Source organism: Homo sapiens, chromosome 17, assembly GCF_000001405.40.
Source record: "Homo sapiens chromosome 17, GRCh38.p14 Primary Assembly".
Taxonomy (NCBI): domain Eukaryota; kingdom Metazoa; phylum Chordata; class Mammalia; order Primates; family Hominidae; genus Homo; species Homo sapiens.
Genome location: NC_000017.11, coordinates 82,735,438 through 82,756,247, shown reverse-complemented (window position 1 = coordinate 82,756,247; position 20,810 = coordinate 82,735,438). Strand labels below are relative to the sequence as shown.

The following is a 20,810-nucleotide window of genomic DNA, read 5'->3' as shown; positions in this document are numbered from 1 at the left end:
GAATGATCAAAATCAGCAGCTTCTATTCTTACCAAGGTGCGGGTCCAACAGATGAGGCTGCTCCTGGTATTTGTCCATTATTACTAAAAACAAATATAACATGAAAATTAATTATCACTAGGCCAAACATACCCATGAGCCTCAGAAACCCCATTTTCCCTTGCTAGCTTCCACAGGGCAGCTCCACCTCTTCCCCAGCTCTCAAGAGCACACCTCCCCTCTCACTAAAGGAGGCCACACAGGCCACCTGGAGGGAATGCCCCACCTCCCTCTAGCCTTTTGAGGGCCACTGTGGCCCAGCCTCGTGCAGTTTACTTGCTTGGCACACTGTTCCTCTTTTCCCACTGCCTCGATACTCTTCCTAACAGAGTCTCCTCCTCGCCTCTTCCTTCCTTCACTCTCTCCTGCCTCTGCCAGCCGTTAAGGGCCAAGCTCAACTCTGTCCTTGTGAGACACACATCCCTGGCACTCCTCTCACACTCCCCTGCCAAACATGCCTGTAAACTAAAAACAAAATTCTAAGCCCCCTAGCCATCTAACAGACCCCTCCTCTTGGCCAAGGGCATTCCAAACTTAACCTGAAAAACTAGTTCAGGCCTCATGATATTAAGGGATTGTGGGGAGTGGTCCACATAGGCCTCATTATACCCTCCTCTCGTTGGAATTCAGGCACAGCTGATCAGTATTAGCATTAAAACCGATCTTAAGTAGCAATAAGACACCAAATTCCAGCCTGACTCTAGTACAGCATCACATGACAGACAGCAGGCCCTGAAAGAAATCAAAATATTTTTCCCTAAAATATATTTGACATATTTTGAAATGGTTCTGCTAAGTTGTCTCTTGCTGGGAAAAGCTACATTCTGTAGAGAATCCCTTCCTTTTCTAGGTCTTTTCCCTGATCCAAGAGAAAATTAACTAAGTCTGGTACCTTTTTAGTCTGATGAAAAGCATTTACAATCTATTCTCTCTGAAACCAGCTAACTGGAACCTTCATCTGCATAAGAAAAACCTTGGTCTCCACAATTTATCTTAACCTAGACAATCCCTTCTATGGATTCCAGGTCTTCAGATAAACTCTTTCAACCAATCACCAATCGTGAAATATTTGAATCCACCAATGCCCTGGACGCCCTCCCACCCAAGATGTCCCGCCTTCCCTGACGAGACCAATGTACATCTTACAGGTATTGATTGATGTCTCACGTCTCCCTAAAACGTGTAAAACTAAGCTGTAGCCCGACTTCCTTGGGGACATGTGACCTCCTGAGGCTGCCTCACGGGCACACCCTTAACCTTCTAAACTGATTGAGACTCGTCTCAGATACTTTTTGGTTGACATATCCAGGCACTGCTCCCTTCCACACAGCTGCCAGCTCTTCACAACCTCCCAGACCCTGAACCACCGCTTTCTCCTCCTCTCAGCAGCTGAAACTGCTTCTGTCCAATCCGGCAGCTCCCACCTCCACATCTGAACACACCCACTGCTTCCCAGCAAAACTGCCTTTGCAAAAGTGATCTGTGAGGAAATTATGGCAATGGGGCAGATCTGATCCAGGCAACCCCCTCATGCCTTTAGTCTTCAAGCTGCCAAGCTACCTCTGGGAGACATTTAATTTATAGTTTAAATGCTAAGAGCCCTTCCCCAAAACTCAACTGCCTTTGTAAAGTTAATGAGAGGCCACCAGGCTAGGAGGAGGAGAGGAGCCTGAATTCCGCTAAGGCGTAACCTAATTGCCAGCCATTATTCTTGAGATCACAAGACATGCGAGTTCCCCAGTTACTCCTGCAGACCATGTCACTATTGCAGAACCTGAGACTGGCCTTTAAAGATATCTTTTCAGATTGTTTCCATGTCTGACACCTACACTAGGATCCACGGACCCATGATAGCTCCACCTGGACCCGCCCACTGCTCCTGGGGCCCCACGCAGACGCGATTCAGCACATCACGGAGGATCATTTCCGACTCCCCTATGATTGTATACCCCTAACCAATCAGCCACCCCCACCCTTTCCCCCAGATTACCTCTAAAAAACCCTGGCCCTCAAATTCTCAGGGAGACTGATCTGAGTAATAATAAAACTCCAGCCGGGCGTGGTGGCTCACTTTGGGAGGCTGAGGCGGGTGGATCACGAGGTCAGGAGATCGAGACCATCCTGGCTAACACGATGAAACCCGTCACTACTAATAATACGAAAAATTAGGTGGGCGTGGTGGCGCGCACCTGTAGTCCCAGCTACTCGGGAGGCTGAGGCAGGAGAATCACTTGAACCTGGGAGGTGGAGGTTGTGGAGGTTGCAGTGAGCTGAGATCTCATCACTGCACTCCACCCTGGGGGACAAAGTGAGACTCCGCCTCAAAAAAAAAAAAAAAAACCTCTAGTCTAGTCTCCCTTTCAACCGGCTCTGCGTGAACTAAATCTTCTCCATGGCAACTCCCCTGCCCTGACAAATCAACTCTATCTGGGCAGCCCGCAGAAAGAACCCACTGGGGCCGAGCGCAGTGGCTCACACCTGTAATCTCAACACTTTGGGAGGCTGAGTCGGGCGACCACTTGAGGTCAGGAGTTTGAGACCAGCCTGACCAACATGGTGAAACCCCCTCTACTAAAAATACAAAATTAGCCGGGCGTGGTGGCGCGCGCCTGTAGCCCCAGCTACTCGGGAGGCTAAGACAGGAGAATAGCTTGAACCTGAGAGGTTGAGGTTGCAGTGAGCCAAGATCGCACCACTGCACTGCACTCCAGCCTGGGCAACAGAGCAAGACTTCGTATCAAAAAAAAAAAAAAAAAAAAAAGGAAGAAGCCATTGGGCTGTTACACCAGGAACAAAAAATCTGGCTTCACTGGTCCCTGGATGAGGGTCCCTCACCCTCAGAACAGTTCTGCACGAGAGGCATCGTTATCCGCCCCAGCTTACACCCGAAGAAACAGGCAATCAAGTATCAGGTCCAAGCGACAGGGCCAGAATTCACAGGCAGGAGGATCTGACGCCGAACCCGCACTCCTCCCACAAGGCCCCCCACCCTGCCTGACTCCTAAAATCAAAGCGCTGTCATTCTAAAATGAGGAAGGCCAAATAATGCAAAAGTTCTTCTTACTCAAAGGGTCTACAAAGATGATTTTACTGAATTACAAAACCCCATGTAACTACTTAGCTATGAGCTCCTAAGGACTTGTTTGGAAATAACCCATTATAGACAGCGGTAAAGGTGGGTCTGAACTCGGAGAATTTAGACTCATCGAATGGCCTCCACAGGGGTACCTACACCCCACCCCGCCTGCAGAGGCACGGACCCGGCCAGCCCGCTCTGTCCACGGCGTCCACGGAACGGACAGGCTGCTGCCCTCCCCACCCGAGGCGCGCTTTGTTTGCAGCAGGTTTGTTCCCTGCGTCCCCCTCTCTCATTCCCTATCTCCCTGTCCACACAACATTCACAGAAACCGCGCTCGGTGGAGGCAAGCCTGGGAGTCCACACTGCAGGGCTGACCAGCTGTCCGGAGGGGTCTGGCCCGAGTCTCCCCAGCCCAGGGACCTCCTCCAGTGACGGAGACGGGGGACGGAGGGCTTCTGCACCCCGCCTCCCGGGGAGGCCGCAGAGGCTTCACCCCGTGCGAGAGCAGGCGCTCCGCGGGCCACGGTCCCCCCAAGGGAGGCGCGCGTCTGCCCCGTGCACCTAACGCCGCGCCGGGGTGGCCCTCTCCCGCCTAGGAAGGCCGCGCCCCACCACGGCCCGCGGGACCGCGCACCGGCAGCCCTCGCAGAGCGGCCGGCGCCGCCGGGCTGCGGTCCCCGCCCGGTAAAGTGCACTCAGCGCGCCGAACCCGGGCCGGGGGAGGAAGCGGGCACGCGGCGCCGCCCACGCACCGCGGAACCGCTCCAGGGCCACCTCGCGCTCCGCGCCGCCGCCGTGCACCTCCCGCAGGCGGCCCAGCAGCGCCCGGGTCTCCGCGCTCTCGCCGAACGCTTCCAGCGCCGCGCCAAAGGCCAGTGTCTCGTCCTCCGCCTCCTCCTCGGGGCCGCCCGCGGCCGGTTCGTCGCTCAGGGCCATCTCGGCAGCCTGGGGACCGCGCCCCCGCCTCACGTGTTCGCAGATCCCACTCCGCTAGAGCGCGAAAGCCAGGGATGAAGGATGAGGGATGAAAAGGAGGCGCCCGCTAAGGCGGCAACCGACGCTGGCCCCGCCCCGCGACCTCCGACCCCACTCGCCGGCCTCGCTACGGAACGCGTCGGCCGCCAAAATACCGCGCGCGGGACGGCGCGTGCACTTGAGGACGCGAGCGGGCACGGGTCCCAAAGGCTCTGGAAGAGCGCGCCGTGGACCCCACAGGGCGCGAGCGGAGCCGGGACCGCTCAGCGGGGCCTGAGCACGCGGTGGGCGGGGCAGGACAGGAGGTGGGGCCTGAGACGCGGTGGGCCGGGCTGCGGGGTGAGGCCGCCGCCGGAGGACAGCGGGGCGGAGCCTGAGCAGGCGGTGTGCGGGGGGGCGGGGCTTCGGGATGGGGCCGGGGGCCGCCAGGGCGGGGCTTGAGCACGCGATAGGGGGCGGGGCTGCGCGCAACGGGGGCGGGGCCCGGGCACGCGTGGGTGGGAGGGGCAGGGCTTGCGGTGGGGCCGGAGACAGCGGGGCGGAGCCACAACACGCCGGGGGGCGGGGCGGGGGCGGGGCGGGGGCGGGTGGGACCGGGGGACCGCGGAGCGGGGCGGAGCCTCAGCATGCGTGGACGGGGAGGGGCGGGGCCTGAGCACGCAGTCGGGGGCGCGAGGCGAGCCCCGGGACCCACCCCTCAGAGCCAACCGCCCTGACACTTATTCGCGCCACGCTGGGACCCGCGCGGATCACACGGGCCCCGCGCCGAGTGGTGGCGCGCCCCAGAGCGGGAGCGGGAGCGGGGCCCGGAGGCCGCGGTGGGCGCTGCGCCGACTTTGGCCTTGGCTACCGGGTCCGCGTGCGTTTCCCCTGAATCGCCGCAAAAACGTCCGTGCACAGCTCGCCGTGCGTCTGGCCCTGAAAGCAGCCCCACGAGCGGAGGAACGAGGCGCAGGACGCCAGCCGAGACCCGCTGCGGGCTTTATTGGTCCCCAGGATCTGGGAGGGGTCGGGGGAAGGGGGACAGGGACAGGGGGGACGGGGACGGGGGACGGGGACGGGGGGACGGCGATGGGAGACGGGGATGGAGGATGGGGACGGGGGAACGGAGACGGGGACGGGGCAGGGGGGACGGGGACGGAGATGGGGGACGGGGATGGGGGGTCGGGGACAGGGGGATTGGTATGTGGACAGGGGGACAGGGGGACGGGGGACAGGGATGGAGGGACGGGGACGGGGGGACGGGGACAGGAGGATGGGGGGACGGGGGGATGGAGACGGAGGGACGGGGAGACGGGAACAGGGGGACAGGGACGGGGGCACAGGGACGGGGGACGGGGGGACAGGGACGGGGAGACGGAGACGGGGACGGGGACAGGGGAAGGGAGGGCAGGGGCCGCTACTTGAGCAGCCTTCGCATGGTGCCCAAGGAAGGGCTCCTGTACTCCCGCCCGAAGTGGTTCCAGTGGTTCAGGTAGTTAAACAGCTGGTAGAGCAGCAGCCGCTGGTCGAAGCCCGGAGCCTTGGGGATCTTCCGGTGGTAGGCGGTGAAGAAGGATCTGGGGAACCCCCCAAACATCAAGGCGATTGCCAGTTCAAACTCGGAATGGCCATAGAAGGAAGCCGGGTCGTAAATAATGGGCCCCACGTCGTCCTCAGCCACGTTTCCCGACCAGAGATCCCCGTGGAGCAACGCGGGGACAATCTCTAGGCCACAAAACAGATCCGGGATCTTCACCTACGAGAGCAACGGCTGCAGTTATCGCTGGCCTCTGGGAGCCCCGGTCTCATCACCTCGTTCTTGGAAATAAGGCAAAGCCCACTCGCGATCTGCTTCGGTGTCCAGCCCCAGCACTGCCTGCCAAGCCCAGAAATAGGGGCCACCTGACTTCAGGGGAGTCTAGCTTTGTCTAACTTAGGATTTCCTCCTAATTTAGGTCTAGAATCCCCACACAGTGGAGAACCTCTGAGGTTATAGTTTTAATCGACCCACAGAATAGGAACCAGTGTTGCGCTACCTTAGCAAACTCTGGCCACTTTTATTTCGCTACACATATATGTCTGCAGGTTTTGTTTGGTTTTGTTGTTTTTTTCTTTGAGAGGGAATCTTGCTCTGTCACCCAGGCTGGAGTGCAGTGGCGCCATCTCGGCTCACTGCAACCTCCGCCTCCCGGATTCAAGTGATTCTCCTGCCTCAGCCTACTGAGTAGCTGGGATTACAGGCACCCGCCACTACACCCGGCTAATTTTTGTATTTTTAGTAGAGATGGGGTTTCACCATATTGGCCAGTCTGGTCTTGAAATCCTGACCTCAGGTAAAATCTATCCACCTCGGCCTCCCAAAGTGCTAGGATTACAGGCTTGAGCCACCGTGCCCAGCCTAGTTTCTTCATTAATGAGTTCAAGTCTCTTTGATGTATACTCACTCTGGATTGACATGCACATTCTTTTTTAACATTTTGAGAGTTATATTTTGATTTTTTTTCTTTTTGATACAGGATCTCACTCTGTCGTCCAGGCTGGAGTGCAATGGTGCAATCTCCCCTCACTGCAGCCTCCGCCTCCCGGGTTCAAGTGATTCTCCTGCCTCAGCCTCCTGAGTAGCTGGGATTACAGGCATGCACCACCATGCACGGTTAATTTTTGCATTTTTAGTACAGACAGGGTTTCACCATGTTGGCCAGGCTGGTCTCAAACTCCTGACCTCAAGTGATCTGCCCACCTAGGCCTCCCAAATGCTGCGATTACAGGCGTGAACCACTGTGCCCGGCCGAGAGTTATGTTTTGAAATCAGTCATTCTGGATCATCTGGTACCCACATCTTCCCATGGGAGAGGAACACGATGGAGTGGACAAGTGTTACTGATAGTAAGAACAGTAATCATGGTAAACACCACCATTTACAAGCACCTGTGTTTCACATGAGGAAAGTCTGAGGCTAAATACCTGGTGACCTAGCAGTGGAGAGGGGCACGAGGAGCCAAGTGTGTCTTCACTCCTCACTCCTTTCGGACTCCCTTTTGGGGGAACCCCCGCCCCTGCCCCCCTTCCTCCCTGATGTGTGCTCCAGGACTCAGTGTTCCCTGCTCCAGCTCCGTTTTACAGATGAACCCGCACAAATGCGGCGGGATCATGAGAGGACCAGCTCTTTCCCAGAGAAGTCACTGCCGTGCCCACCTGTAGCCGGGACCAGAGTTCTCGTGCCTCTCGGTCAGCATAGTCCTTCTCAATGAGGTCCAGCTGCGCCTGGAGCCGGTGCCGGGCGAAAAAGGTCGGCCAGTCATCCTGCCACTCATTCACCTGGACAACAAGGGAAAAGAGGCCACTGTTGCAATTCGGAGCCAAGTGCTGCCTAAACCCTAGAGGGACCATTCAAAACCCAGCAAAGATACCTAGTAAGCCAACAAAGGAGGTAAGACAGAAACATAAAATACTCAACCCAGAGGAAGGCAGGTAAAGAGAGAACAAAGGGCAGATGAAACAAAAAACAAATTGCAAGATGACAGACTCAAAACTATATGACTAAGCACATTAAATACGAATGTCAAAAATAAATACTCTTGGTAAATGACAGATTGGCAGGTTGGAAAAATAAAGCAAATCCAACAATAAGTTATGTGCAAAAAGACATTATCTACTAAAAAAAAAAAAAGCTTGAAAGGATAGAAAAGATATACCATGCTAACACTAGTCAAAAGAAAGCTGGAGGCCAGGCACAGTGGCTCACGCCTGCAATTCCCAGCACTTTGGGAGGCTGAGGTGGGCAGATCCCTTGAGCCCAGGAGTTAAAGACCAGTCTAGGCAACATAAGGAAACTCCATCTCTACTAAAAATACAAAATTAGCCGGGCATGGTGGCGTGGGCCTGTAGTCCCAGCTACTTGGGAGGCTGACGTAGGAGAATCGCTTGAACCCACAGGCAAAGGGTGCAGTGAGCCGAGATCGCGCCATTGCACTCCAGCCTGGGCAACAAGAGTGAAACTCTATCTCAAAAAAAAAAAGAAAAAAAAAAAGAAAGCTAGAGTGGCTACATTAATACAAGACAAAGTAGATTTCAAAGCAAAGAAAATCAAATATAGTCATTTCACAAAGGGAGTCGACTAATGAACATAATAATCCTAAATGCCTACACCTCTAATAACACAGCTTCAAAATACGTAAAAGAACTGCAGGAAAAATAGATAAATCCCATATCCTGCTATTGACTCAATGGTGCCCACCCCCGTTCCTACGTTGAAGCCCTAACCCCTAATATACCTGTATTTGGAGGAAGGGCCTCTAGGAGGTAATTAGGGTTAAATAAAATCGTAAGGGTGAATTATTAATCCAATAGGATTAGTGGCCTATAAGAAGAGGAATAGAGTAGGATTTCTCTCTCCATGCAAACAGATCTCAATAAATTGAGAAGAATTTAAGCATGCAAAGTATAATCAAATTCAATTAGAAATCAATAGGAAGGCCAGGCCTGGTGGCTCACGCCCATAATCCCAACACTTTGGGAGGCCGAGGTGGGTGGATCACGAGGTCAAGAGATCAAAACCATCCTGACCAACATGGTGAAACCCCATTTCTACTAAAAATACAAAAAGTAGCTGGGCGTGATGGTGCATGCCTGTAGTCCCAGCTACTCGGGAGGCTGAGGCAGGAGAATCTCTTGAAACCAAGAGGCAGAGGTTGCAGTGAGCTGAGATTGTGCCATTGCACTCCAGCCTGGTGACAGAGCAAGACTCCGTCTCAGAAAAGCAAAACAAAACAAAATCAATAGGAAAAATTCTGGGAAATCCTCAAATATTTTAAAACTAAACACAGTTCTAAAATCTGTTTAAGAAAGATGTCTAAAGGGAAATTAGAAAGTGTTTTCAATTGAATGAAAGCAAAAACACAACTTATAATTTGTGAGATGCCACTAAAGCAGTACTTGGGGAAAATGTGTAGCACTAAACATCTGTGTTAGCAAAGATCTCACAGTAATGACCTCAGCTGCTACATTAACCAACCAGAAAAAGAGCACATTAAACCTAAAGTAAGCAAGAGGCCAGGCGCGGTGGCTCACACCTGTAATCCCAGCACTTTGGGAGGCCGAGGCAGGCAGATCACAAGATCAGGAGTTCGAGACCATCCTGGCCAAGATGGTGAAACTCTATCTCTACTAAAAATACAAAAATTAGCCAGGCGTGGTGGCAGGTGCCTGTAGTCCCAGCTGCTTGGGAGACTGAGACAGGAGAATCGCTTGAACCCAGGAGGCAGGGGTTGCAGTGAGCCAAGATCTTACCACTGCACTCTAGCCTGCTCAACAGAGTGAAACTCCATCTCAACAACAATAAAAAGGATAATAAGGAAATTTTTTTTTTGAGACCAAGTTTTGTTCTTGTTGCCCAGGTGGAGTGCAATGGCACGATCTCAGCTCACTGCAACCTCCCTGCCTCCCGGGTTCAAGCAATTCTCCTGCCTCAGCCTTTCGAGTAGCTGGAATTACAGGTGCCCGCCACCATGCCTGGCTAATGTTTTGGTATTTTTAGTAGAGATGGGGTTTCACCATGTTGGCCAGGCTGGTCTCGAACTCCTGACCTCAAGTGATCTGCCCACCTCGGCCTCCGAAAGTGCTGGGATTACAGGCGCGAGCCACCATGCCCAGCCTCTGAAGGACGCTTCCAAGAAAATACACAAACAACAAACTAGGAGACACTATTCGCAAATCATATATCTGGTAAAACACTCATATCCTAAATACGCAAAGAAATCTCAAAACTCAATAATAAAAAAAAAACCCTATTCACAAATTGGACAAAATAAGTGAACACATGGTTCACCAAAGAAGATATTTTGTCAGCAAACAGGCACACGAATAGATGCTCCACATCTTCAGTCATTATGGAAATGCAAAATAGAACCTCAGTGAGATAATATTTCACGCCCACTAGGATGGCTGTAATTTAAAACAAAAAATCTCAAGTGTTGACAAGGATGTGGAGGAACTGGAACTCCCATATGCTGCTGGTGGGAATGCAACATGGTGCAACCACTTTGGAAAAGAGTTTGGTAGTTTTTTTTTTTTTTTTTTTGAGACGGAGTCTTGCTCTGTCGCCCAGGCTGGAGTGCAGTGGCGAGATCTCGGCTCACTGCAAGCTCCACCTCCCGAGTTCACGCCATTCTCCTGCCTCAGCCTCCCAAGTAGCTGGGACTACAGGCGCCCGCCACCATGCCCTGTTAATTTTTTGTATTTTTTAGTAGAGACGGGGTTTCACTGTGTTAGCCATGATGGTCTCGACCTCCTGACCTTGTGATCCACCCGCCTCAGCCTCCCAAAGTGCTGGGATTACAAGTGTGAGCCACCCCACCCGGCCAGTAGTTTCTTAAAGAGCTAAATATGGACCTACCATATGACACAGTCATCCCCCTCCTAGGTATTTACCCGAGATAAGTGGAAGCATTTGTCCAGACCAAGATTTGTACACAAAGGTTCACAGCGGCTTTATTTGTATGAGCAAAAACTGGAAATGATCCAGAAATCCATCCACATGTGAATGGATAAACAGGCTGTGTTAGATCCGTACAGGGGAATGGGCTTTTGACACATGCAACATGGATGTGTATCACGGATGAATATCAAAGGATTTTAGACTTGGATAAATATCAGCATGATTATGCTGAGTGAGAGTGTGGGGAAAAGCAAGAGAGATCAGATTGTTACTGTGTCTGTGTAGAAAGAAGTAGACATAGGAGACTCCATTTTGTTCTGTACTAAGACAAATTCTTCTGCCTTGAGATTCTGTTAATCTATGACCTTACCCCCAACCCCCTGCTCTCTGAAACGTGTGCTGTGTCAAACTCAGGGTTAAATGGATTAAGGGCGGTGCAAGATGTGCTTTGTTAAACAAATGCTTGAAGGCAGCATACTCGTTAAGAGTCATCACCACTCCCTAATCTCAAGTACCCAGGGACACAAACACTGTGGAAGGCTGCAGGGACCTCTGCCTAGGAAAGCCAGGTATTGTCCAAGGTTTCTCCCCATGTGACAGTCTGAAATATGGCCTCGTAGGAAGGGAAAGACCTGACCGTCCCCCAGCCCGACACCCATAAAGGGTCTGTACTGAGGAGGATTAGTATAAGAGGAAGGCATGCCTCTTGCAGTTGAGACAAGAGGAAGGCATCTGTCTCCTGCCCGTCCCTGGGCAATGGAATGTCTCGGTATAAAACCCAATTGTACCTTCCATCTACTGAGATAGGGAAAAACCGCCTTGGGCTGGAGGTGGGACATGCGGGCAGCAATACTGCTTTGTAAAGCATTGAGATGTTTATGTGTATGCATATCTAAAAGCACAGCACTTGATTCTTTACCTTGTCTATGATGCAAAGACCTTTGTTCACATGTTTGTCTGCTGACCCTCTCCCCACTATTGTCTTGTGACCCTGACACATCCCCCTCTCGGAGAAACACCCACGAATGATCAATAAATACTAAGGGAACTCAGAGGCTGGCGGGATCCTCCATATGCTGAACGCTAGTTCCCTGGGTCCCCTTATTTCTCTCTATACTTTGTCTCTGTGTCTTTTTCTTTTCCAAGTCTCTCGTTCTACCTAACGAGAAACACCCACAGGTGTGGAGGGGCAACCCACCCCTTCATGAGAGAAGCAGACAGAAGACATACCACATGATTCTATTTATATTAAATTCCACAAGATGCAAACTAATCTACAGTGACAACACCAATGAATGGTTGCCCAGGGGCAGGGAAGGGCACGAGGAACCTTTTGGGGGTAATCAGTATACTCACCTTGACTGTGGTAAAGGTTCACAGGTACAAACATCAAAATGTACCAAATTATACATTTTAAATGGGTGCAATTTATGTCAAATTACACCTCTGTAGAGAAAAATACGAAGCTGATTTTATACAAAGGGTTATTTTGTAAAACTCCTTCGGGGAGGACCGCCCTGGTCAGTGGCCCCCACCAAGAATCTCCCTGCACATGGGTGCTGTGGTGACTCGGCCCCTGGGCTCACCCTCTGGTGCTGTGTGCACCTCAAGAGCAGGATGGAAAGGCCCCTCCCCATAGCCTGGCTGTCAGATCCCCAGCTCAGAGGTGCACCGTGCAGCCTCCCGTTATTTCCCATTTGCCTGCCCAAGCTCCCAGCGTCTGAGCTCTGTACTCTTTCCAGAAGACAACCAGGTTTAGTGCTGGAAGCAGGCGACCAGCCTGGGCTAGCCCAGTCCTGCCACCTGAACAGAGGGGCTGTGATCCTCCAAGCTACCCGGGGAAGGTGCCACCTGGGTACACAGCTGGTCCCAATGACCAGGCCTCCCCTGACAGAGGGGCTGCGTCATGGTCAGGGCCTGTGGTCTGAAGCCAGACTGAGGGTCGAAGCCCAGCTGCCCCGCTGACAAGCTCCATGGACCCAGGCATGAACTCTGCATGTCACTTTCCTCATCTATAAAACGGATCAGTGACATTATCTGCCTGGTTACCTGCTAGGGCAAGTGGGTGAGTTGAGTTCAGTGAAGTGCTTAGAAGGGTGCCTGTATGTGGCAGTGTACAGAGCATGGGGCAAGCACCACAGCCGACCCAGCTGGCAGCCCCAGGGGGCCTTAGTGCCCAGGTGTCTGAGGAGCCCGCCGCTCAGCACTGCCCCCCATTGGCTGCAGCACACATTCCCCCAGGACCCATTGAGCCCTCCCAAGGAGTGGGAAGCCTCCGGAACCTGGTGCTGTCCGAGGCACAACAAGCAGGAAGCAGGGCAGGTGTCCTCCCTGGCGCCTCACCCTTCCTAGCCAGGCTGCACCTGATCTGAGGTGGGTTCCTTGATCCTGGAGTCCGAGGGGCATTGAGGGGCTCCCTGTGCTCCAAACAGACTAGCCCCCTTCTCGTCTGCTTCACACACAGGGGCTCTGGGTAAGATTTCACTTCATTTCTTTGAAACACCACTCTGCTGGGCCAGCCAAGTCCTGTAGAGCCCGCCACTTGCAGCCCTTGACCTCAGCATCCACAGCAGGACCACAGGACCACAAGCTGCACCCAGCCGTGCTCACCTGGACAGGTGAAGAGGGTGCTGCTCACTGGCTCCGGACAGGTGTGTGACCCCAGGGGAGCCAGCTGTGGCTGAGATCTCGGGGGTCTCGGTAAATCTGGTAAGCTCCATGTGCAGTTCTAGCGAGCCCAGATGTGAGGACTGCCTGTTGGCTGGGAACCCTAAATCTGCTTGGGCTTCATGAGGATCTTGCCCCAGGTGACCTCCAGCTGGGAGAATCACCCTCTACCCACACCAGGGAGAGCTTGGTCATTGTTCGCAGGGACCCAACTAGTCAGGACGGGCGTCGACAAGGAGACAGATTTGAAAGTATTCTCTCTTCAAGAAGCAGTGACTTTGAACTAGCTCTTATATAATGGGTGCTGTGTTCCTAACAAAACCAAAATATGGTCCAATATTGGCTTCTTCAAGAGAAGCACAGGGCAGTTGGGCTGTCCAAAGTCTTCTTTGGAACTTCACAGATTTCAAAGATGATGGTTCAAGAGGCTCCAGTATTATTCAGCCATAAAAAGGAATATGTAAAGAAACGTGTGGCCTAGCCATAGAATGGAATATTATTCAGCCATAAAAGAATAACATTCTAACACCTGCTACAACATGGAAGAGCTGTGAAACATGATGCTGAATGAAAGATACAAAAGATCACATATTATGTGTTTCCACTCATATGACATATCCAGAAAATTCAAAGAGACAGAAGGTACATTAGAGGTTGCCAGGGACCAGGAAAGGGGGAAATGGGGAGTGACTGCTAATGGGTTCTGCTTTAGGATAATGAAAATGTTCTGGCCAGGCATGGTGGCTCACACCTGTAATCCCAGCACTTTGGGAGGCCGAGGTGGGTGGATCACCTGAGGTTGGGAGTTCAAGACCAGCCTGACCAACGTGGAGAAACCCCATCTCTACTAAAAATACAACATTAAGTCCAGGCGCGGTGGCTCGTGCCTGTAATCCCAGCACTTTGGAAGGCCGAGGAGGGCAGATCACCTGAGGTCAGGAGTTCGAGACCAGCCTGGTCAACATGAAACCCCGTCTCTACTAAAAATACAAAAATTAGCCGGGTGTGGTGGTGCATGCCTGTAATCCCAGCTACTTGAGAGGCTGAGACAGGAGAACCGCTTGAACCCAGGAGGCCGATGTTGCGGTGGGTCGAGATCGTGCCATTGCACTCCAGCCTGGGCAACAAGGGCAAAATGCCGTCTCAAAAAAATAAAAAAGAAAAGAAAAGAAAGAAAATGTTCTGGAGTTAAACAGCAGTGATGGTTGCACACCATCACGAATGTACTAAAAACCAATTAATTCTAATCCTTTAAAATGGTGGATCTTATGTGAATTATATTTCAATTGTATCTAAATAAATAATAATTTGTAAAGGCCTCAGGAGAGGAGCTGAGTAATCAGCACTTAATCCCTGACTTTGCACACTACCCATCACCCACTGTCTCCAGTCCCTCAGACTCATCAGGAGCCTTGTGCAACACAACCTTTGCACTTGAGGCTCGCTCTGCTTGGAATGCTGATCTGCCTGCCCCAGCATGTCCCATGACCCTGCCCAGCTCAGCTCAGTGACCCTCAGCGTCTGCTCTCCCCATTCCAGGTATCACAGCTTCTACTCTGCTTTCAGAAATCAAGTAGTCAATCTTGCTGGTGCTTGGGAGATTAGCATTCTGTCACATATAAAGAGTGGGTGACCAGCATTAGGGCATCAGGGAACACCCTCACCCAGGCACTCACCTGCGGGATGAAGCCGCAGCACGTCACCGTGTGGAAGCCGAACTTGTCCACATACTGAGGCTCAGCACCCTCACCTCTTCGGCCTGTTGACAGAGATCCTTGGCCTGAAGGAGCTGTTTGTCTTTCTCTTAAATGCCAGACCTCAGCAGAGCATCAGTACAAGCCTGGGCTACGCATGCTAGAATATAGGTGGTCTGAGGATGTACTACATACAGTAGCAATTAGTCAATATATGGATCTGCCAGGACACTCCTACCTCAAGCACACTAGACAGCAGGGCTGGGTATAAAAGGGGTTATTATTACCTCAAGCACACCAGACAGGAGGGCTGGGTATAAAAGGGATCATGTGCCAATTCTACTAGCTTATCAGCTACATCAAAATTCTTATTTAATAATCTCATTTTCATAATGTAGTGTAAAGACAGACGGTATACAACTCAACCTATTATTGAAATGCCACCAAGAAGTACCATGAGCACCCATCTAGGGTAGACAATGTGGCTGGATCAAGGGTACCCAAAAGCAATCTGAACATACCCACTGTGTTCTCCTCCTCCTTCAACTTCTCCCTGAGCTTCTGGTTGTAAAGATGCAAATCTGCCATCTGCTCTCCAAGTTTTGATGCTTGACTGAGGAAAGAAGAAATGCAGCTAATTAAAATAACAAATAATAAATAACACCACCCAGTTTGTTCCATTTTGAGAAAGGTTTAAATACATTGAAAACTATTCTCCATTCTTCAAACAGTAAAAAGTGAACACCAGGCAATGACTCTTTCTTTTGCTTTTTCTTTCTTTTCTGGGGCCAGGCCTTGCTCTGTCATCCAGGCTGGAGTGCAGTGGCACAATCATGGCTCACTGCAGCTTTGACTTCTAGGGCTCAAGCAATCCTTCCACCTCAGCCTCACAACTAGCTGGGACCACATGCCTGTGCCACCATTCCTGGCTTTTTTTTTTTTTTTTTTTTTTTTTGTAGAGATGGGGTCTCCTCCTGCCTCGGCTTTCCAAAATACTGGGATTACAGGTGTGAACCACCACGCCCAGCACTGGCAAAGACTCTTTCCAGAAAATAACATCATGTAATCACAAACAGGAATTAACCAAGTGAGCTTCAACAGAAGTCTTAGGAGGTACCAGGAATTAAGGGAGGAATGCTGAGAAAGTAATGATAAGTGAAAATGCAGGGCCAAGCATAGTGGCACAGTGGCTCAGGCCTATAGTACCAGGACTTTGGGAAGCCAAGGCAGGCAGATCATGAGGCCAGGAGTTCAAGACCAGCCTGGTCAATATGGTGAAACCCCATCTCTACTAAAAATACAAAAAATTAGCCAGGCATGGTGGTACACCTGTAGTCCCAGCTACTCTGCAGGCTGAGGCAGAAGAATCATTTGAGCCCAAGAGGCAGAGCTTGCAGTGAGCCTAGACTGCACCACTGCACTCCAGCCTGGGCGACAGAGTAAGACTCTGTCTCAAAAAACAAAAAAAAAAGGAAAGAAAAAGCAAAAGAAAAAGATGGACTGGGTGTGGTGGCTCACACCTGTAATCCCAACACTTTGGGAGGCCAAGGCAGGCGGATCACTGAGGTCAGGAGTTTGAGACCAGTCTGGCTAACATGCTACTAAAAATACAAAAATTAGGCCGGGCGCGGTGGCTCACGCCTATAATCCCAGCACTTTGGGAGGTCAAGGCGGGTAGATCACGAGGTCAGCAGATCGAGACCATCCTGGCTAACATGGTGAAACCCCGTCTCTACTAAAAATACAAAAAATTAGCCGGGCATGGTGGCGGGCGCCTGTAGTCCCTTCTACTCGGGAGGCTGAGGCAGGAGAATGGCGTCAACCCAGGAGGCAGAGTTTGCAATGAGCCAAGATCGCGCCACTGCACTCCAGCCTGGGTGACAGAGCGACACTCCGTCTCAAAAAAAAAAAAAAAAAAAATAGCTGCGTGAGGTGGTGGGGTGCCTGTAATCCCAGCCACTCGCGAGGCTGAGACAAGAGAATTGCTTGAACCCAGGAGGCGGAGTTTGCAGTGAGCCAAGATTGCATCACTGCACTCCAGCCTGGGAAACAGAGCAAGACTCTGTCTTGGAAAAATAAAATAAAAATAAAGTACAAAGCAAATGATGGGTTCAAATATACTTATTTTGGGCAGGTGTGGTGGCTCAGGCCTGTTATCCCAGCACTTTGGGAAGCCGAGGTGGGTGGATCACTTGAAGTCAGAAGTTTGAGACCAACTCAGCCAACATGGTGAAACCCCATCTCTACTAAAAATACAAAAATTAGTCAGGTGTGGTGGTGGACACCTGTAGTCCCAGCTACTCAGGAGGCTGAGGTGGGAGAATCATTTGAACCCTGGGGGCAGAAGTTGCAGTGAGCCGAGATTGCACCACTGCACTGCACTCTAGCCTGGGCAACAGAGCGAGACTGTGTTTCAAAAAAAAAAAAAATATATATATATATATATATATGTGTATATATATATATTTTATGCAGCCTCATTACAGCCAAACTTATCTAGGAAAACCAGTCACATACCAGAAAGCAGTAACTTTTTATCTCCATTAAGAATGGCAGGGTGGAACTCTTGGCCCTGCCTCTGATAACCGGGCAGTTGTGTGGACGGCTCAGCCACAGGCTTCTCCCTGTTTCTGTCTCCCTCCCCATCTCTATCCCTTTCTCTGTCTCTCTCTGTTTGTCTCTGAGTCTCTCTCTGCCTGTACACATGTGCGCATATGGGTCTCACACACACTCACCTGCTCAAGCTCTTCATCTTCAAATGCTCCATCACAAAGGCGGCCCCACCTCCCGGCAGGTCGATGACCTTCATGGGCCTCGGCACCCGCACCAGGCCCGTGCTCCTGAGGGCCTCCAGGCTGGCCACCTCCCCCTCAAACATCTGCCGGGCCTGCATCCAGAACACAGCCTTGTCAGCCTTGTTGACTCAGCCAGGGCCTCTGCCCACTGGGCCCTTGACAGAAGCTACCACGTGGGAGTCACAAGGACCTTCATTCACTGATAGCTGGCTCTGGCTGGGAGCTGGCGTCCACCACAGAGGGCAGGGTGCAGAGGGGCCCCCCGTCGGAGACGAGAGGCTGCAAGGCTGAGGCTGAGCCTGGGCCGTGAGGGGTGTGGGGTCTGCAGGCTGCTGTGACAGGAGGATGCACAGGCCACGTGTGGGTGCCCGGGAGCACTGAGGGCGTGGGGAGGTGTGAGTGAACCAAGGTCCAGAGCTGGACCCCCGGGCTACCCACCTTCCTTGCTGCCTCTTAGGGTGGGGCAGCCACAGCAGAGGCCTCACTGGAGCTAACTTGGGCACACACGTCAGGCAGGGAAGAAGAGGGCTGGGCCCATCAGGCGGGGCCTCAGGTCCAGGGCAGGGGCTGGGAAGGTAAAAGGCACGGCACACCCGGCCGGCCCCCAACGCCTCCCGTGGGACCTGGGCCTTCCTGTTTCTGAAATATTCCCACAAACATTCCAGTTTTCAGTTAGGTGAACACTCACCTCACGTACAGTACACATTGGTTGAAAACATGCATTGACGAACGTGGTCCATGAATACCTTGGCCTATAGAATTGCATGTTTGTTTTGAGACAGGGTCTCACTCTGTCACCCAGGCTGGAGGGCAGTGGCATGATCTCGGCTCACGGCAGCCTCCGCCTCCTGGGTTCAAACGATTCTCCTGCTTCGGCCTCCTGAGTAGCTGGGATTACAGGTGTGGGCCACCCCACCCCGCTGTGTTTTTCTGTATTTTTACTAGAGATGGAGTTCCACCGCCGTGCGTGGTGGCTCGCACCTGTAATCCCAGCACTTTGGGAGGCCGGGGTGGGCGGATCACAAGGTCAGGAGATTGAGACCATCCTGGCTAACACGGTGAAACCTCGTCTCTACTAAAAATACAAAAAATTAGCCAGGCAAGGTGGCGGGCACCTGTAGTCCCAGCTACTCGGGAGGCTGAGGCAGGAGAATGGAGTGAACCGGGAGGCGCAGCTTGCAGTGAGCCGAGATCCAGCCTGGGCGACAGAGCAAGAGTCCGTCTCAAAAAAAAAGAGATGGAATTTCACCATGATGGCCAGGCTGGTCTCAAACTCCTGGCCTCAAGTGATCCACCTTTCCTCAGTCGCCCAAAGTGTAGGACTGCATGTTTAAAAAAATCAAACCTCATGAATGAGACCAAAGCATCTGCTGGTGCACACGAACAGAACGCCCTTTCCTTCAAAGTACCCCAGGGAAAGCCCAGGCACAGCCTCCCCAGCCTGGCAGCCCTGGCCAGCCTGCACCGAGGGTGGGTGTGAGTGTCCACAGGTGGGAGGGCGGCCGGCACACCCCAGCCCTGCTCCAGGGCGAGCCCCCCATGCACCAGGCCAGGAACTCCCGGCCTTGGGGCTGCTAAGCCCCAGGGGCCCCAGCATCACCTGCTCTTATGCATGGACTGAGCAGCTACTATGTGCCGGCCCCTCGTGGGGGTGGGAGGGAAGGAGGGGTCTCACCCTGCAGAGCTTTCAGGACCAGCTGAGGAAGTTTCCCAGAGCCCGTGGGAAGCCTGAACCAAAAACTGCTTCCCTGTGAGTAGGACTCCCCACTTTGAGGGATTTGGTTCTGAGCCGGCAGAGCAGGTGATGCCGGAGGATCCGATCGCACGCCCAGGCTGCATGGCTCTGGTGTTCCTCCTGCCAGCACTCCCCACCAGGACCCCTGCTGCCCCTCAGAGAGCTCCCCCACCAGAGTGTGCAGGGCCTTCTGAGCCCACTCGGGCCGGGAGGGCACCCAGGCCTGCCTTTCTCCACCTGCCGGCTCTCAAGGCTGAAGCTAACCTTCTCCACTTCCTCCGTTAACATTTTCCATACTTTTTTTTTTTTGAGACGGAGTTTCCCTCTTGTTGCCCAGGCTGGAGTGCAATGGCGCGATCTTGGCTCACTGCAACCTCCATCTCCTGGGTTCAAGCAATTCTCCTGCCTCAGCCTCCCGAGTAGCTGGGATTACAGGCCAGTGGCACCACATCCGGCTAATTATTGCATTTTTTGGTAGAGACGGGGTTTCACCATGTTGGCCAGGATGGTCTCGAACTCCTGACCTCAGGGATCCACTCACCTCGGCCTCCCAAAGTGATGGGATTACAGGTGTGAACCACCGCGCCCGGCCTTCCATACATTCTTAAACAGAACTATTTTCAGCAGGAGATAGAAATCAGGTCTAAACACAGACAAGGCCTGTGGGAAGGAGAACGCTGGCCTGGCCCGTGGGGTCCCTGCCAGGGGCCCAGCCATGTCTCTGCTTCTTTCCCACTGCCAGGAGGACGGTGGGCTGAGAGGGGCGGCCCAGAGCTGAGCCAAGGACCCCAAGCCTCACATCCCCCGACGCTTGCTGGATAGGAAAGTTAAAACCACCCCTAGAAGCCTGTGCGCTGCGCATGGAGGCCAAAGGAAGGTCACGGATCGTGCAGACACAAACCTTCACAGAACGCTTGAGCCGGGCTCACCCAGCAGGTGCCACCTCCCAAGGGCCAAAGCTGACCCCTCCCCAGGCCCAGCCCCAGGAAATGCGCCTGCCCCCGACCCCTCCGCCTTCCCAGGCCCCGCAGAGACCCGCAGAGCCCCCGCCTGCGCACGGGCCAGCACCTGCGTCCTGCGGTTGACTTTGACGAACACTGGGCCTGCGTCCGTGTCGTAGGCTCGGCCCTCGCTGATGCAGCCGGCGCCGGGGCCGCCGAAGGCCCGCAGGGTCGCGGTGCGCAGCTCGGCGCGCAGCAGCTGCTCCATGGAGTGCGGGGCGCGGGACTCTGCTCGCTCGGAAGCCCCTGTCGGCTGAGGCGCTGCGGGGCGGGGCGGGGCGGGAGCGCGCGGCGCGTGACCCCGGGCGGCGGGAGGGGCGGCCTCAGGCGGGCTCGCCGCGCGCTCCCCGCGTTCGTCCGGCTTCGCGCTTCCTGCGCCCGGGATTCGGGGGAAGCAGCCGGGAGTC

At 53.2% G+C, this 20,810-nt stretch overlaps 2 protein-coding genes across 13 annotated transcripts in view, besides 6 other annotated features; both read right to left on the bottom strand.

Annotated features, from left to right (window-relative positions):
• Positions 1-4,183, bottom strand: part of TBCD (tubulin folding cofactor D) — a 193,850-nt gene extending 189,667 nt beyond the window's left edge. For 6 of the 12 annotated variants that reach the window (NM_005993.5, NM_001411102.1, NM_001437989.1 and 3 more), the window contains exons 1-2: positions 3,871-4,183; positions 33-83 (exon numbers count right to left, since the gene is read on the bottom strand). In NM_005993.5, coding sequence (NP_005984.3) covers positions 33-83; positions 3,871-4,054 — 235 coding nt within the window. In that variant the 5' untranslated portion in view covers positions 4,055-4,183. Of the gene's footprint in view, positions 1-32; positions 84-931; positions 1,002-3,493; positions 3,757-3,870 lie in introns of those variants that run through there. The other 6 variants (NM_001411101.1, XM_047436615.1, XM_047436619.1 and 3 more) reach the window with 3 other exon arrangements.
• Positions 981-1,275: an enhancer, noted in NCBI's record as "tiled region #591; K562 Activating DNase unmatched - State 5:Enh, and HepG2 Activating non-DNase unmatched - State 14:Gen5'". NCBI's record gives its function as "activates a minimal TATA promoter and a strong SV40 promoter by Sharpr-MPRA in K562 cells, with weaker activity in HepG2 cells {active_cell/tissue: K562 | HepG2}" and the evidence as "EXISTENCE:reporter gene assay evidence [ECO:0000049][PMID:27701403]".
• Positions 3,622-3,941: a silencer, noted in NCBI's record as "silent region_9229". NCBI's record gives its function as "represses an Ori minimal core promoter by ATAC-STARR-seq in GM12878 lymphoblastoid cells {active_cell/tissue: GM12878}" and the evidence as "EXISTENCE:reporter gene assay evidence [ECO:0000049][PMID:35858748]".
• Positions 4,632-4,991: a silencer, noted in NCBI's record as "silent region_9228". NCBI's record gives its function as "represses an Ori minimal core promoter by ATAC-STARR-seq in GM12878 lymphoblastoid cells {active_cell/tissue: GM12878}" and the evidence as "EXISTENCE:reporter gene assay evidence [ECO:0000049][PMID:35858748]".
• FN3K (fructosamine 3 kinase) lies at positions 5,052-20,633 on the bottom strand. Its single transcript, NM_022158.4, has 6 exons — positions 20,471-20,633; positions 17,608-17,759; positions 15,394-15,485; positions 14,855-14,937; positions 7,271-7,393; positions 5,052-5,831 (listed from the first exon to the last, which is right to left on the bottom strand). The coding sequence occupies exons 1-6, from the start codon at positions 20,609-20,611 to the stop codon at positions 5,493-5,495; spliced, it is 930 nt and encodes a 309-aa protein (NP_071441.1). The 5' UTR covers positions 20,612-20,633; the 3' UTR covers positions 5,052-5,492.
• Positions 11,979-12,615: an enhancer, noted in NCBI's record as "H3K27ac-H3K4me1 hESC enhancer chr17:80701509-80702145 (GRCh37/hg19 assembly coordinates)". NCBI's record gives its function as "activates a minimal SCP1, AML or CMV promoter by ChIP-STARR-seq in naive H9 embryonic stem cells {active_cell/tissue: H9 hESC(naive)}" and the evidence as "EXISTENCE:reporter gene assay evidence [ECO:0000049][PMID:30033119]".
• Positions 18,753-19,464: an enhancer, noted in NCBI's record as "H3K4me1 hESC enhancer chr17:80694660-80695371 (GRCh37/hg19 assembly coordinates)". NCBI's record gives its function as "activates a minimal SCP1, AML or CMV promoter by ChIP-STARR-seq in primed H9 embryonic stem cells {active_cell/tissue: H9 hESC(primed)}" and the evidence as "EXISTENCE:reporter gene assay evidence [ECO:0000049][PMID:30033119]".
• Positions 19,465-20,177: an enhancer, noted in NCBI's record as "H3K27ac-H3K4me1 hESC enhancer chr17:80693947-80694659 (GRCh37/hg19 assembly coordinates)". NCBI's record gives its function as "activates a minimal SCP1, AML or CMV promoter by ChIP-STARR-seq in primed H9 embryonic stem cells {active_cell/tissue: H9 hESC(primed)}" and the evidence as "EXISTENCE:reporter gene assay evidence [ECO:0000049][PMID:30033119]".

Excerpts from the sequence above, each read along its gene's own strand:
- FN3K (NM_022158.4), bottom strand. The coding sequence starts at position 20,611 with ATGGAGCAGCTGCTGCGCGCCGAGCTGCGCACCGCGACCCTGCGGGCC. Across the intron at positions 17,760-20,470 it reads AAGTCAACCGCAGGACGCAG|GCCCGGCAGATGTTTGAGGG; the intron begins GTGCTGGCCCGT and ends TTCTGGATGCAG. Across the intron at positions 7,394-14,854 it reads GCTGCGGCTTCATCCCGCAG|GTGAATGAGTGGCAGGATGA; the intron begins GTGAGTGCCTGG and ends CTTGTTGTCCAG.